This window comes from Homo sapiens, chromosome 4 (genome assembly GCF_000001405.40).
Source record: "Homo sapiens chromosome 4, GRCh38.p14 Primary Assembly".
NCBI classification, from domain to species: Eukaryota; Metazoa; Chordata; class Mammalia; order Primates; family Hominidae; genus Homo; species Homo sapiens.
In genome coordinates, this window is record NC_000004.12 from 25,914,143 (window position 1) to 25,930,761 (window position 16,619).

A 16,619-nucleotide genomic window follows, 5' to 3' on the forward strand; every position below is an offset into this window, starting at 1 on the left:
TCCACCCCTGTCTCTTTCTCCGCTCCGCCCCTCCTCCTCGTCCCTCCCTCAAGGCCCGGAAGCGAAAGCCTCTCCACCTCTTCCGAGCGGGGTCACGGCCCGGCCGTCGGTAACCTGGTTTCCGAGAGTGCCGGGCGGTCGGCGGGTCAGGGCAGCCCGGGGCCTGACGCCATGTCCCGGAACCTGCGCACCGCGCTCATTTTCGGCGGCTTCATCTCCCTGATCGGCGCCGCCTTCTATCCCATCTACTTCCGGCCCCTAATGAGATTGGAGGAGTACAGTGAGTGATCTCTAACCCCTTGCGGTGACCTGACTCCCCAACACACACACCTCCCCTCTGTGAGCTCCACGTGGTGCCGTGGAAAGAACTTGGCTCGAGGGTTAGGGAGAGCCGGGTTCGAATCCTGCCATGTGCAGCTTTGTGACCGTGGACAAGTTGCTCAACCTCTAGGACTCTCAGTATCCTCATCTGTGAATGTTTGTGGCTACGTCATCTATGCTAAAATGCCGAGCCTCCTGTGAGACTCAGGTGATCATGTATATGAAAGCAGTCCTCACATAAGTCGACGCTAAGTACCAGTTCATATTTACAGTTAAAATTCACTGAATGCCTATTACACGTCAGGTTAGGCATATGTTGGATCGTTTCATTTGCACAAGCTCACCTTGAAGTATATATGTAAAACATGCCCATTTTACAAATGAGGGAACTGAGAGGCTCAGAGGTTTTATAACGTTCCCAAGGTCACACAGCAAGTAAGTGACAAGGCAAATATATCCAACCCCAGGCCTCTGTCCAGAGCCTCCTCCAAGCACCCAGGCTGAGAATGGTGACTGGGGGAGCCAGATGGAACCCTGATCCTTCTGAGTGGAAAGGTGCTTTTACTGCACTTCATTTCCACTCCCCAAGATGTTTTTTGAGTGGGACTGTTTCAAACCCAAACTGTTAACCTGGGGTTTGTAGTGTTTTCTCTTCTTTTTCCTCAAATTGTTTTTCCGATTCTGCTTGTTTCCTTCGTTTTAAGCCGATTGCTCACATGGTAATGGTGAAATCCTGGGAGTAATTTTCCTTCTTAATCATTCCAGTCCTATCATTCTAAAAGCCAAACTCTTCTTCCTTGAGACCTATACCTCAGCAAGGATTAGCACTTTGATACATCTGAAACCATCTGTCAGACAGAAAATATTAGGCATTAGAGGCTCATTTTGTTCACCAGGAAACCCGAATCATCTTGAAGATGGAAGAGGGCCAACCCTGTCCCTTGGGAATATTAACGGACACTGAAAGCTTGGCGAATTGAAGGCGAAAGCTCCGTGTAAATGTTCTGCCCATTACAAATGTTGCAGCAGTCGATTTCTGGAGGCAGAGCGTTTTAAGTGCACACTCAGATTTCCTTGTAGCTTCTTTTCATTAGCCAAGACTGAAATGGCCACTGTGTTCTGCCTTCCAGCTTATCTGCATGCACCATGCGTGGGAGTAAGGTGGGCTGTGTGAAGCCCTGCGGGATCTGTTTCCACCATCCTTCTTCAGCGGACGCCTGCCCCAGCGATTATATTGAGGCCACTAGAACTTGGGACAAAGGGTCTGCTTTGCATCCCATTGGAAAAGTCAGTTCTGAAAACTAGAGCTGTGGTTCTCATCTAGGGGTGATTTTGCCCCGCAGGATATTTGGCTCAATCTGGAGACATTTTTGCTTGTCACAACTTGGGATGGGGCGGGGGGGGGGTCGAGTGTTGCTACTGGTTTCTTGTGGATAGATGCCAGGGATACTGCTAAACTTTTTGCAGTGCATACAAGACAGACCCCCATGACAAAGAATTACCCAGCTTAAAATTCGAGTGGTGCCTTGGTTGAGAAACCCTGCTTGAGATGAAATGGTCAAGATGGGGACTTGTACTGTGTATCCCAGCAACAGTCTTTTAGGGATACTCCAGAATCTGTGGTTGTCTGAATGTCTTGAGACAGACAAATCAGGTGATGTTCATCTGTGGGTGAACATTTAGTGAATGTAACTATAATATCTGCATTTTTAACTAGAAGGCAGGCAGTCTGTGCCTTCCCACTTTTCTGGTTCCTTTTTGTTTTTTTTTCTTTTTTTCCGCTGTCACCCAGGCTGGAGTGCAGTGGCCTGATCTCGGCGCACTGCAGTCTCCATCTCCCAGGTTCAAGCAATTCTCCTGCTTCAGCCTCCTGAGTAGCTGGAATTACAGGTACCTGCCACCATGCCCAGCTAATTTTTGTATATTTTAGTAGAGACAGGGTTTCACCATGTTGGCCAGGCTGGTCTCGAACTCCTGACCTTAGGTGATCCACCCGCCTTGGCCTCCCAAAGTGCTGGGATTATAGGTGTGAGCCACCACGCCTGGCCTCTGGTTCCATTTTGATTAATTTGGCCAACTCTTTTCTGGGGATCGTAACTGATTCTTTTTTCTGAGACAGTCTCCCTCTGTCGCCCAGGCTGGAGTGCAGTGGCATGATCTCGGCTCACCGCAACCTCTGCCTCCCAGGTTCAAGTGATTCTTGTGCCTCAGCCTCCCAAGTAGCTGGGAATCCAGGCATGCACCACCAGTCCTGGCTAATTTTTGTATTTTTAGTAGAGACAGCATTCTGCCATGTTGGCCAGGCTGGTCTTAAACACCTCACCTCAAGCGATCCTCCTGCCTCAGCCTCCCAAAGTGCTAGTGTTACAAACTGACTGCTGTAACATTTGTAATGGGCAGAGCGTTTACACAGCTTTCGCCTTCAGTGCCAGCAACTGATTCTTTTAAACAGGTAAATATTGCTGAACAGGTAATATTTGTGGGAAGTTTACTATATGTTTGGCACTCTTCTAAGCACTTCCTATATATTAACCCATTTAGTGTTGATAACAGCCCTTTGTGGCAGCTGCTATATGATCATCATCCCCATTTTATATGTGGACAAACTGAGGTGTGAAACAGTTAAATTACTTACACAAGGACCTACAGCTGATGAGTCACAGATCTGGGACTTGAATTAATATCCTTAATCCCTAAACCAAGACAGCATACTGCTTGTCTAAGGGGGCAAGAAAAGGCAATGGGGGAGATGAGTGTCTGCATAGCCTACTAGATGAATGACCCTCATCTAAGTTACTTCACTTCTCTGAGCCCTGCCTGTTTCCTCATCTGTAGCAGTGTAGTTCACTGGATTGAATTTACAGGGTTTGGGGTGAATTAAATGGGGTAACAGGTGTGGAAACACCTACTATAGTCTTATATTAGATATTTTATTAAAATGTTTACAAAATAATGAGCCACAAGGGCAGGAATGTGAGACATGGAGATTTTAGCAGGTGGATAGGCCTGGAGCTGGCTGACCTAGCAGTAAACTGGGATGAGGTGTTCATGATCAGGTCATGGAAACCCACTGTGTGGTCGGATCTTCAGCTCATTCCAACACATTCAACTAGCATTTATTTAGCACTCTCTTTTTTAGAAGAAACCTGGATTCTAGCAATCGCTGGGTGCCTGGCACTGTGCTGGGTGTGGACTGCACCTAACCAAACAGCATGGTCAGTCACTTCCTTCCATCATGCTCTTCCTACCCTTGTCCTGTCCACCTCGCTCCACCCATTCCTGGGACTGAGCTGCTTCCATTGTGTCCCACCTACTACCCATTCTCTACCTAGCAGCCACAGTGGTCTTTTCTGGTGACTTTTGGTTGCTGGTTTCTATCTTATTTGCATTTATGGTCAGAGAATGTGGACTATATGATTTTGATTCTCTGACACTGGTCAAGACTTGCTTTGGGGCCTGGTACAGGTCAGTTTTTTTTTTTTGTTTTTTTTTTTTTTGAGACAGAGTCTCGCTCTTTCGCCCAGGCTGGAGTGCAGTGGCGTGATCTCTGCTCACTGCAAGCTCCGCCTCCCGGGTTCACGCCATTCTCCTGCCTCAGCCTCCCAAGTAGCTGGGATTACAGGTGCCCGCCACCACGCCCGGCTAATTTTTTGTATTATCAGTAGAGACGGGGTTTCACCGTGTTAGCCAGGATGGTCTCGACCTCCTGACCTCGTGATCCGCCTGCCTCGGCCTCCCAAAGTGCTGGGATTACAGGCGTGAGCCACCGCGCCTGGCCCAGGTCAGTTTTTGTAAATATTCCCTGTGTGCTTGGAATGGTGGCTGTTCTCTTGTTGGGTACAGAGTTCTGTATCTGTGTATGTTAATTACAGATCAAGCTTCTTAATTCTGTTTGTATTTGGATGTCCTGTGGCCATGTTATTAGGTGCATACAATCTAGAAAATTCTGGATAATTTTTTCTAATTATCATTATATAAGAATTATCTTTATCTCCACTGTTCTTCCCCATCTCTATTTTATCTGATTTTATTGTGCTACCAGATTCCTTTTTTTTTTGAGATGGAGTTTCGCTGTTGATGCCTAGGCTGGAGGCTGGAGTGCAATGGTGTGATCTTAGCTCACTGCAACCTCCGCTTCCCAGGTTCTAGTAATTCTCCTGCCTCAGCCTCCCAAGTAGCTGGGATTACAGGTGCCCACCACCACGCCTGGCTATTTTTTTGTATTTTTTACTAGAGACGGGGTTTCACCATGTTGGCCAGGCTGGTCTCGAACTCTTTGACCTCAGGTGATCTACCTGCCTCAGCCTCCCAAAGTGCTGGGATTACAGGCATGAGCCACTGCTCCCAGCCCAGATTTCTTTTAATATTTTCCTAGCTTATCTGTTTCTCTCCTTATACACGCAGACTTTGTCCTTATGTGAATATCTTTTTTTTTTTTTTTTTTTTTTTTTTGAGACGGAGTCTCGCTCTGTCGCCCAGGCCGGACTGCGGACTGCAGTGGCGCAATCTCGGCTCACTGCAAGCTCCGCTTCCCGGGTTCACGCCATTCTCCTGCCTCAGCCTCCCGAGTAGCTGGGACTACAGGCGCCCGCCACCGCGCCCGGCTAATTTTTTGTATTTTTAGTAGAGACGGGGTTTCACCTTGTTAGCCAGGATGGTCTCGATCTCCTGACCTCATGATCCACCCGCCTCGGCCTCCCAAAGTGCTGGGATTACAGGCGTGAGCCACCGCGCCTGGCCTGTGAATATCTTAAAACCAACATAAACTAGATATTTTAATCCAACCTGATAAGCTCTTTTAACTATTGGATTGGATTAATTTTCATTTATTCTATTTACTGATATATTTGCATTTATTTTTCTCACCTCATTTTGTGTCTTCTTTTTTTTTTCTTGAGACAGTCTTGCTCTGTCACCAGATTGTTAGTGCAGTGGCAAGATCTCGGCTCACTGCAACCTCTGCCTCCTGGATTCAAGCAGTTCTCCTGCCTCAGCCTCTCAAGTAGCTGGGATTACAGGCACATGCCACCACGCCCGGCTAATTTTTTTTTTTTCCTGTATTTTAGTAGAGATGGGCTTTCACCATGTTGCCCAGGCTGGTCTCAAACTCCTGAGCTCAGGCAATCCGGCTGTCTCAGCCTCTCAAAGTGTTAGGATTACAGGCATGAGCCACTGCACCCGGCCTTCTGTTCTATTTCTATGCTTCCTTTTTTTCTTCTTTTCTGCCTCAAGCCTTCTTTATTCTTCTCTTCCCGCTACTAGTTTGAAAGTTTTAAATTCTATTTTTGTTCTTTTATAAAGTTTAGAGTTAGTCAGTGTCTTTACCCTTGAACAATACAAGGTCCTTATAATGCCTTAACCTTTGTCCCATGCACCTGACATAATATATTTGTCCTGCCTGGTGCCTGTGACTCAGCAAATCAGTTAACACCATCACTATTGTATATGGTCACTGACTGTTTATCTTCACCCGCGTTCTTTACTCACCGACGCTGCTTACATTTCACTCCTTTCTAGCTTCAGTTTTCTCCCTTCTGACATACATCTGTTACTACTTCTTTGGTAAGAATTTGTAACTGGGAACCTCTGTTTTTGTCTATTGGAAAATGTATAGAACTGCAGGTCTTCTGCCATGGTTTTTGAAAAGTTTGTCACGCCATCCAAATTTAATCATCTCACTTGCTTAATTACAGTGCTCCAGTAACCCTTTGGTGTCTTGGAAGTCCAGCCAGTGGAGGGTTATTGAAGTATAGTCATGTGCTGTATCATATTTTGGCCCGCGATAGACCATGTATGACAGTGGTCCCATAAGATTATCATGGTGCTGAAAAATTTCTGTCGCCTAGTGATGTCCTGATGATCCTGACCCTGTGTGGGCCTAGGCTAATATATATGTTGTATCTTAGTTTCTCACACAAAAGTTTAAAAAGGAAAAAATAATAATAATTTTAAAATAGAAAGATGTCTATAGAATGAAGATATATAAAGAGAAAATATTTTTGTACAGCTGTAGATGTTTGTGTTTTAAGCTAAATGTTACTATAAGAGTCAAAAAGTTTTAAAAATTTAAAAGTTTATAAAGTAAAAAAGCTAGCTGAGGTTCATTTATTACTGAAGAAAGAAATTTTAAACAATAAATGTAGTGTAGCCTAAGTGTGCAGTGTTTATAGAGTCTGTAGTAGTGTACAGTAATGTCTTAGGCCTTCACATTCACTCACCACTCACTCACCCAGAGCAACTTCCACTCCTGCAGGATTCATTCAAGGTAAATATCCTATTTGGGTACACCATTTGGAAAATCTTTTATACAGTGTTTTTACTGTACCTTTTCAAGTTTAGCTATGTTTAGACACACAAATCTTTACCATGTGTTACAGTTGCCTGCAGTATTCAGTACAGTACCAGGCTGTACAGGTTTGTAGCCTAGGAACAATAGGCTATATCACATAGCCTGGGTGTGTAGTAGGCTACACTGTCTAGGTTTGTGCAAGTACACTCTATGATGGTTGCACAACAATGAAATCACCTAAGGACGCATTTCTCAGAATGTACTCCCACAGATGAGTGACACAGGACTGTATGTTAGTAAGAGCAGTGATCATATTCACTCTTTACAAGCATCACTCTGATTGATTGTATGTTAACTAGAAGGTGGAAAAGTCAAATCTGGGGACAGGAAGGCCAGGTACGGGAAGGCTGTGTTTCCTGTGACCTCAGGGAGACCAGAGTGGTGGCTATGGGAGTGGAGATAAGTGACTGCATTTGGGAGCCATATTTAAGAAGCAAACTGGTGGGCATGGTGGCTCAAACCTGTAATCCCAGCACTTTGGGAAGCTGACGCAGGAGGATCGCTGGAGTCCAGGAGTTCAAACCAGCCTGAGCAACATGGCGCGACCCTGTCTCATTTAAAAAAAAGAAAAGAAGTAAACTCTACAGGGGTCTGTGGCTGATTAGCCACGGGGCAAAGAAGGAGAATGGCACCCAGTGTTCTGGCTCCAGCAGCTGAGGAGATGGAGATGCTGGTCATTAGCTAGAAAACACAAGAAGGAATTGGTTTTAGGGGTGAAAAGACAAGTTAGTTTGCTTTTGGGCATTTGGGTAGCTTTTGAGGCTGAGGTAGCTGATGTGCTCTTTGAGATTTCCCATAGACAATGGAATATACCGATCTGGGGCTGAGACGCCGGATGTGAGCTGCAGCTGGAGATGGGGCATCATCAGCACGTGGCTGGGAATCAGGTCACTGCAGTAGGTAAGGGTTCCCAGGCAGCATTCAGAGATTGTAAGGGGCAAGCTGGCCCGGGGCAGTGTGCTGGGGAACACCAGTGTCAGAAGGGCTGAAGCATAGGGGGTCAGAGGAAGAGAAAGGCCCTCTAAGGAGACTGAGGAGGAGTGGCTAGACAGGTTTTAAACCAGGAGAGGCTGCAGTCACAAGCCCCATAAAGACAGCTCTTCATGAAAAGGGAGTGTGGTCAGCAGGGTTAGGCTGCTTAGAGACAGTAAAAGAGATAAGTGAAAATATGAATTATATTTAACAGAAATAAGTTAGAAGTGATTGGTTATATTGTTAAACATGCTTTCAGTGGTTTGGAAGTAGGCAGAAGGCAGGTTGCAGTGGATTGAAGTGTATTAAGTTGACTATTAATAGTGTATTAAGTTGACTATTTATAGATGTTTAGCTGTATGGAGAGGAGAATGGCAAAGTTTCCAGCAGGTCACAGGGTCTGGGAAGAGTTTTCTTTTAGTTTTGGCTGGAAGAGATGGAGGGCCAAGAAAGTCTTAGACAGAGAAAGCTGCTGGAGAGAGAAGACAGTCCGTAGAGTGGGAGGTGACATGAGATCCTGAGCTCAAGTAGAGGAAAGAGCCTTGGACCAAAGGCAAGGCACCTCTTCCACCAGCTCAGGAGGAAGGATGGTGTGGATGCTGCCATATCTAGGTTTGATGTTGGCAAGTTGTGGGCACTTCCAGGTGATGGCGTCTATTCTCTTTGTGACACAGGAAGTCAGGTCATTTATGAGTAAGAGGCACCAACTCTAGGCCATCCTCTCCTTCCTTGGAGCACTGTCTTCCCTGGGCCTCTCCACCGTGGAAGGTCCTCCTGGGTTTGCTCTTTTGCTCCTGCCTTTCAGCCACTCCTGTTAGCCTTTCTTGTTAGGCCTTCTCTCCTGACCGTCCTTCATACATTTCATTCCCCAGGATCCTGAGACTGTGGGGCAGAAGCCCATCATTCTTGGATGGACAGGGCAGAAGCCTACTCCCTGAGAACTGGGTTACTGGTAAAAGCAAGACTTAGGGCTGGCAACTGGCAAGGCAGTCCATGTAGAGCCAAGTGTCAGATCAGTCCGGGCCCTTCACCTGTGCCAGCATGGATATGGGGACAGGTACGTTCCAGGGTCTCTGCTGGAACAAGCATACAGGCAGCAGAAAAGAAGGGGAAGCCTGCTTAGGTAAAACAAAGCCAAGGAGATCTTCCATGGTTGCAGAGCAGGCAGCCACTATCACCAGACTGCCTTATTGGATTTCATTTTGGCGTTCAGCATGATCTTCAGTTCTTTCGTTAACTTAGCAAGGCTTTCCTAAGTGTTATGTGGAGTACAAGGCAGTTCTGTACATGATACCTCAAGTACTGAAATGAGCGCTGGACAGATGATGGCATCAGTGGGTCAGTGACCCAAAACCAGAAGTCTGGGTACAGTTCTGCTGTACTTCTGGAGGGAGTCCCAGACACTTTTTAGCTTTCACCCTGTTGGCATAGCATGTTTGGTCTGAAGAGGCCACAGTTAGGGAAGAGTACAGATGGCTAATCTGTCTTTGTTTCCTAGAACTAGACAGTGACCCTGAATATGGCCTTTTACAAATAACATGCATTTGAGGCCAGCCTGTGAAATTAGACAGAATAAGATCATTTTCTGTGATCCTTTTCATTTGAAATTTTAATTGGATGTTCAGAAGCATAAAATCATAGGGTTTGACCAGAAGGGGCTTGAGCTCATTTCCGTCCCCTCATTTAGTGACTTGTCCAAGGTTACTCAGCACATTAGTTGCTGGGTGGACACTAGGCCCTAACTCCTTGACCTTGCCTGTACTTAATGCCCTGCCTCATGATGCCTTCAGACAGTGAAGAATGTTCAACAGCCAGCCAAGTGAAAGGCCACAGGGGAGAGCTGTGAGACCTCAGTTCTGCTGCTTCTCAGTCCTGTTGATTTCCGCTGCACCTTGCTGCCCCTGCCCAAAAGGAGGCTATGCCTAGGCAGCACACGGTACTGGAAATCACCTGATGCAGAAAGAATTCTTACCTTGTCAGGGCATTTTCCTTGTGACATGCCAGGTGCTTAGAATATGCTTTTCAGTCCTTTCACCACATAATCGAATGAAATGCGCAGGCAGACTGGGTCTTGTTTTCTAACTGGCATTACACAGTTCCCTGGATTCAACCAGGCTCTGGTGAGGAAACAGACCTGTTGACACTGTTGGGAGGAGTGCAGTGCTTCAAGTGGCTACTTGGTCCCCTTCAGCCAACTGGGTCACACTTGCTCCTGTGGTCATATGGCTTCCCCTCCGTCCCTGGTTCTTTCTTGTCACCACGTCCATTTGGTCCCCTTCAGCCAACTGGGTTGCACTTGCTGCTGCGGTCATATGGCTTCCCCTTGGCCCCTGGTTCACACTCACCACCAGTGAACCTCCAGTTCTGGAATACCCCAGAGGCAGATGGTGTATGTATCTAGGTAACAGCAGCAACAAAAGCAACTGAAAAGCTTTTGAAAAAAATTTTATATTTGCTACTTTTTAAAAGATAGCTTCTTTGAAATAATCACCATGGAAGAGTCAAAATGGTGTTGGACTTTTCGTATGCATGTTGTACAGTTATGTGGTTTTTGTTAGTGAAAAAAGAAACTCAAACTTGGGGAGGCTGAGGCAGCAGAATCACTTGAACCTGGGAGGCAGAGGTTGCAGTGAGCCGAGATCACGCCACTGTACTCCAGCCTGGGTGACAGAGCAAGACTCTTTCTCAAAAAATAAATAAATAAACAAAAGAAACTCAAACTGACAAAAGATCCAAGAACAGTGCAGTAAATTCCTATATTGTCCTTCACCTTGATTTACCAGTTGTTAACATTTTGCCACATTTGCTTTCTCCCCCTATATATAACATACAGATACATACATATATACAGATATAGTTATATGTACTATATATTATAATTATTACTGTTATTTTGTTGAACCATTTGAGAGTAGGTCAAAGACATTGTGAGCTTTCATTCCTAAACACTTCAGCCTGTATTTCCGAAGAACAAGGGCATTCTCTTATGTAATCACAATGCGGTTTTCCAATCTAAGAAATTTAACGTTGATACAGTGCTATTACAGTTGGAGCATTTCTAATCTGAAAATGGAAAATGCTCCAAAATCTGGAATTTTTTGAGTTCCAAAATGACACAAGTGGAAAATACCACACATAAGTACTTAATATAAATTTAGTTTCATGCACAAAATTATTAAAAACATTGTATAAAATTATCTTCAGTCTATGTATATAAGATGTATGTGAAACAAATGAATTTAATGTTTAGACTTGGATCCCATCCCCAAGATATCTTGTTATATATATATGTAAATATTCCAAAATCTGAAAAAAATCCTAAATCCAAACCAATTCTGTTCTCAACCAATTTCAGATAAGGGATATTCAACTTGTATGGAATATACAGCCCACGTTCAAATTTTGCCATTTGTCACAATTCAAGTTGTGAGTTGCTTTTATTTTATTTTATTTTTTTATTTTTCTTTTTTGAGACAGAGTTTTGCTCTTGCGCCCAGGCTCGAGTGCAGTGGCATGATCTTGGCTGACTACAACCTCTGACCCCCAGGTTCAAGCAATTCTCCTGCCTTAGCCTCCCAAGTAGCTGGGATTATAGGCGCCCGCCACCATGCCTGGCTAATTTTTGTATTTTTAGTAGAGATGGGGTTTCGTCACGTTGGCCAGGCTGGTCTTGAACTCTTGACCTCAGGTGATCCACCCGCCTCGGCCTCCCAAAGTGCTAGGATTACAGGTGTGAGCCACTGCGCCCGGCAGAGTTGCTTTTAAGTATTTATTGGCAGGAAGAAATAGGGAGGTAGGTTCCCAAGGTCATACCTTGCACCAGCTTTCATTTGCTTTTTTATTTTAGGTTTCTGTCTGCTGGTCCTCCACTAGAGCACCCTCAACGAATAATCCTGAGACTGCTGAGGGAGCTGGGGCTTGAGTATCCTGCAGTGTTTGCATTGTTGTGAATGTTCAAGTAACAAGTCACACAGTCGATGTATTTTCCGGTGTGGACATTTAATATAAGGATATGTTTTTGTTTTTAAAGACTTCAACATTATTAGGTAGATTCTTTTACTATCGTACAAAAAATCAGCCGGTCTGCATGTATTACTAGTTTTAATAATACACTTTGGCCCCTGGACCAGAGATAACGTCCTCAATTAAAACTACAAATCACACCACTGCCTTAGCACCAGGGGGCAGAGTCGGGCTTGCTGAGACACTGGAGTGGGGAGTTTTTTAACCCGGTGTGCCATATTTGGGTTTAAATTATTTCACTCCTGATAGAAATGTGCTCACTAGTGAAATTGGTAATAAGTTTATCCTGATTTGTTTACATAGTTAAACCCCTGACTTCTGCCATTTCCCTTTTCCTGAGGTTTATATACATTTGCTCTTTTCCAAAGATAGGGAAATAGAAGCTTACTGTCAACCTCAATCAAGATGCACTGCTAAATCGTGAGGGACTCGTTTCTGTTTTCCTTTTAGAGTATTCTGCATTCACAGATAAAGTGTCTTTGTGTTACATCATGAATTTACATAAGACTGCTTTGGCCTTAGAGTATTTATAAAACATTAATGGATTAAAGAACCAGGGGATGTAGATAGGATGCTAATACCTGGTTATCATTTGGTAGGAACTGGCTCAGCAAAGTGGTTTAAATTTCCTGACCAAGCCAAACTACAGAGGTGTTTGCATTAGGACAAGGATTATAAAGAGATTATGGTCTATTTAAAATAAATCTTCAGCCTTGCTTCAGCCTCATTAGCAATTAGCAAGAAAGTGTGAAGACAGGGATTTCTTTCTTTTCATTTGGTTCTCCGTTGCATCATAAGAGGTTAGAACCCAATTAGGCATTCGGTCCTTGCCACCAAAAGTCAGCTTCCTTTGATGCTTGGCAGTCTGCCAGCTTCTTTTGCCTTGCAGTACCTGCCTCTGGACAATGTGTTTGGTACACCAGGATGTCTGATTTTATGAAATCTCTAAGTCTAGAATGCTTTCTGATAGTGATTTTTTAAAACTCAAATCTTCCCTCTTCCATAGTATCAGAAAATAGACCTTTTAGTTAGATACAGAAAATTAATTCTATTTTTGTTCCTGCCAAGACTGATGACTGTGGGCTTTTACATGTTGGTATCTTCCAAGAGCATGTTCGAGACATCCATACTTTGAGACTTACATGTCTATAGGATGGTGGGGCTCAGTTCTACAATGATTTAATGTCTTAAGAAATGAGGACACCTTTTGTGTTATTTCAGAAAGTCTAACACTTTAGAGGCTCCATAATATCCACTCTAAATGGAAGAAATCTTTTGATATATCTTGAGAGAATCTTGGTTGCCATTCATCCGCTACTTTTCAGAGAGGAGCAGTGAAACCATCAGGCCGCTTGTTGCCTGGAATAGGCCTGAGTATCCTATGTGTTCTCTCCATCCCTCTTAGACTTGGATATCAGGATTCCCATAATCCCCATTGCCCAGTGTTTTATTTGCCACAGCAAAACTTAGTATTGATAAAACTATCAGGTCGGTCATTTAGGATTGACTTTCTGTCACATGACTAGAGAAGCAAGTTCAATGAATATTAGATTTGGCCAAACCCTGTTTCTTGTACCGTTACGTTTGTGTAACTTTATGAGAATCCAGAGGCCAAAGTAAAGAAAATGGCCTGATACTAAATAAGAGCTAAATGTGGATTTAAAGAAACACTGTCAGCCTGATTAAAACAAAGGTCCGATTATGACATTTCATTACTATAATTTAGTGGTAAACGTCCTTTGGCTCTAAGGCTTTCTCCTGAAAAGCTGTCATTTGTTTGTCAAGATACTTAAAATAATAACTCTTTGTTTTTACAGACCTTGGGTTTATTCTAAACCACTTAGAAAAATGTGTCAGAGTGCTTCAAGCCCACAGATATGAAATGCCCAATTTCTCTTGGCCCTTGCCTGTTGGACATCTCCAAAGAGACTGGCTTAGTTGCTGTCGCTACAATGTGCTAATTGGCGCAGCACCTGCAATCAATTAGGGAAGCTTCAATTATCCAAACCAAAGCCACCCACCCAAAGATTAATTTTCTGCTCTATTTCCTATCAAAAACATAGCATATTTAGCTCTGAGTCTAGTCCTTTGGTGGAGTGCATTTTAGACATATAAACTACATCGTTTTCTTAATTGTACTTGTTCCTTCAATTCAGCAGCTTTCCCCTCGTGATATCACGCCCACCAGTTCTTTCAAAATTGTTCTTTTTTTGTTGTTGTTTTCTTGTCTTTCCAAAATGCTGAGATCACAGAGAAGAGATGTTAGTTGGGGAGCTTTTCTTTTGAAGTATGGATTTCTTTATTCTTTTGAAAATACCCAATCTCTTTTGCATTATAGGATCTAACTTCCACAACCTAAAAGCTTTGCATAATAGCGTATCTGAATTTAACAGCACTCATAAATACTGTTTTCTAATTGTCCCATGTCATTGGCCCATGTAAATACAAATATTTCTCTCTCCCCGCCCCCCTTCTAAAGAATGATTTTTCTCTTATGTTTCTCAGAGAAGGAACAAGCTATAAATCGGGCTGGAATTGTTCAAGAGGATGTGCAGCCACCAGGTAAACTGAAAAAAAAAAATCAAAACCAAATCTTATTTGTACTACTGTGTTGTGCGGGTTTGTGTGTGTTTGCCTTGGCGTGGAGAGTGGGAAAATGCCTTTTAGCTTAGAGACAAGATTGTGATTTTGCTATTTATTTCTCAACAGTTGCCATTTATAGATGCCACCCAAGGCGTCATTCTAATATTTCACTCCAGAATACTTTTTGCACGTTTGCCAGGTTCCTCTTTTCCATTTTATAAGTGGGCATAAAAATGTTAACAAGTGCGTGATTCGATATGAGACGTGAATAGCTGTTTGGCAGACTTATTTACCAAGCACCTATTTAAACACTCCCCTCATGGGAAAATAGTGTTTACTTGTTAGCTGTTTGAATTGATGTGGGGTTCTGCTTTGCACAAGGGCTAAAAAGCTCCCTTTATGGCTGAATGGTTAGTTCCTTTCAGAGGATCCAAGTTAGCCAGGAATGAGAGGTTTCTCATTTATTAACCAAAGCTCTTATAATCTGTGGCAACATTCTTTTTTATTTATTTATTTTTTAACTAGGCCAGATGTCGGTCTTCCTGCTATGGGGTACAATTCCTGAGCCATTTAAAAGTCCCTTATGGCAGCCATGGCTTCCTGGCCATTTAATGCCAAGGTTCCGGCAGCCTGCTCACACCATCTCAAACTACACTGTAAATTGCACAGCTCAGTTCTGATGTCATTTTGTTTGTTTGGGGTGGAGGAAAGTGGAAGGACATTTAAAAATGAATCCTGTTTTTGTTCCTGTTTCTTTCCATAGGGTTAAAAGTGTGGTCTGATCCATTTGGCAGGAAATGAGAGGGCTGTCATCAGCTCTGATTAAGAAAGGAGATTTCTTCATGCTTTCGATTCTGCATGGGGTACAGCCAGTCACCTCACCAGAGAATGACGGCTGGAGAAGAAAACTCTGTAATACCATAAATAAGAGTGCTTGTAATAAAAGACTGTGCACAAGGATTAATATTTCCCTTCTTAAGTATCAAAAGAACTCTGGAACAAATTATACCATTAGGAAGGTTTTCATGATTCAGTTGATTTTCCAAAAATGAAGCTATCTCACCCAGCTGGGTTTGGAGGAGCAATCTGCTTATTATTCTGTCGTTACCACTTACTCAAGCGAGCTGTGATATGAATACAAGCAACCAGTGGGCTCGGGAAGGTCCGGGTCTCTTCTGCCATCTTCCAGATAAGAGATTTCAGTAAAAAACTGCCATGCTGAGCTGCCTTATAGAGCTCTTCGAAAATGTTCGAGTTGATAAAGCTCTTTGAGGACAAGGTACTTCGTGCACCTCATGCTGAAGATTGCACCGTGTTGGAAAATAAATATGAAGCAAGTCAAACTAGATGCATACACTTGTGTAGAAATCAATAATCAATTAATAGAAGTGAAAAAATAGACATTAAAATGATTTATTTCTACTTTGCAGTGGTGTCTTTTTGTAAATCATCTTTTGTAAAGCAATTAAAATTATAGTGCCGAGAAGTACAATTTGACTACATTATATTTGACTAGGTATCTGTGTGCGATTCATCTGTTTGTACTCAGGTAAACGTTTTAGAGGTAAATAACAAATTTGTTGAGACAAATATTGAATGGTGATTCTCTACCAGGTACCTCACTAGGTGCTGCAAAGATGAAAGTGAGAAGACTAGTTGAGTATCCCTTATCCAGAAAAGCTTGGGAACAGAAGTGTTTTGGACTTGAGATTTTTTTGGATTTTGGAATATTTGCATATAAATGATGAGACATTTTGAGGATGGGACCCAAGTCTAAGCATGAAATTTATTTGTGTTTCATATACTTTATACACATAGCCTGAAGGCAATTTGATATAATGTTAAAATAATTTTGTACATGAAACAAACTTTTGACTAAAACCATCACATGAGGTCAGGTGTGGAATTTTCCACTTGTGTCATGTTGGTGCTCAAAAAGTTTCAGATTCTGGAGCATTTCAGATTCCAGATTAGGGATGCTCAACCTGTCGTCTTTCCTTTCCTCCCTCCCTCCCTCTTTCTTTCCTTCCCTCCCTCCCTTTCCTTCCTTCTTCCTTTGCTCTGTCTAACCTCTTACTAGATGATACGCTTCTGAAGTGGCACACTTTTTTCATTTTTATATCGGAGTGTCTTGCACATTACTGTAAGCTGTCTATGAGCTGCCTGATGACATAATTTTATTATTGTGAACCTGGAGTTTTCTTAACAGACAGCTGGCCCAATTTTGTAATTACTGTCAAGAAGACTTAAGGTTGATAGTTCTAAAACCAAAGTCAACATTTTTGGTAGGCATTCCCATTCCCTAACATTTAATTGACTTACAGTTCACAATCCAGTAAAAGAAGTTGACTCATTAGGGGTACATTTGACC

At 43.2% G+C, this 16,619-nt stretch overlaps 1 protein-coding gene across 2 annotated transcripts, besides 3 other annotated features; it reads left to right on the top strand.

The window, feature by feature from the left end:
- Positions 24–123: an enhancer, noted in NCBI's record as "active region_21381". NCBI's record gives its function as "activates an Ori minimal core promoter by ATAC-STARR-seq in GM12878 lymphoblastoid cells {active_cell/tissue: GM12878}" and the evidence as "EXISTENCE:reporter gene assay evidence [ECO:0000049][PMID:35858748]".
- SMIM20 (small integral membrane protein 20) lies at positions 78–15,670 on the top strand. Of its 2 annotated transcripts, NM_001145432.3 has the most exons (3): positions 78–280; positions 14,171–14,227; positions 15,012–15,670. In NM_001145432.3, the coding sequence occupies exons 1-3, from the start codon at positions 172–174 to the stop codon at positions 15,047–15,049; spliced, it is 204 nt and encodes a 67-aa protein (NP_001138904.1). In that variant the 5' UTR covers positions 78–171; the 3' UTR covers positions 15,050–15,670. The 2 variants fall into 2 exon arrangements, with proteins under 2 accessions (NP_001138904.1, NP_001381059.1); NM_001394130.1 differs by lacking the exon at positions 14,171–14,227.
- Positions 194–323: an enhancer, noted in NCBI's record as "active region_21382". NCBI's record gives its function as "activates an Ori minimal core promoter by ATAC-STARR-seq in GM12878 lymphoblastoid cells {active_cell/tissue: GM12878}" and the evidence as "EXISTENCE:reporter gene assay evidence [ECO:0000049][PMID:35858748]".
- Positions 11,771–11,820: a silencer, noted in NCBI's record as "silent region_15329". NCBI's record gives its function as "represses an Ori minimal core promoter by ATAC-STARR-seq in GM12878 lymphoblastoid cells {active_cell/tissue: GM12878}" and the evidence as "EXISTENCE:reporter gene assay evidence [ECO:0000049][PMID:35858748]".
- Positions 15,671–16,619: the final 949 nt, after the last annotated feature.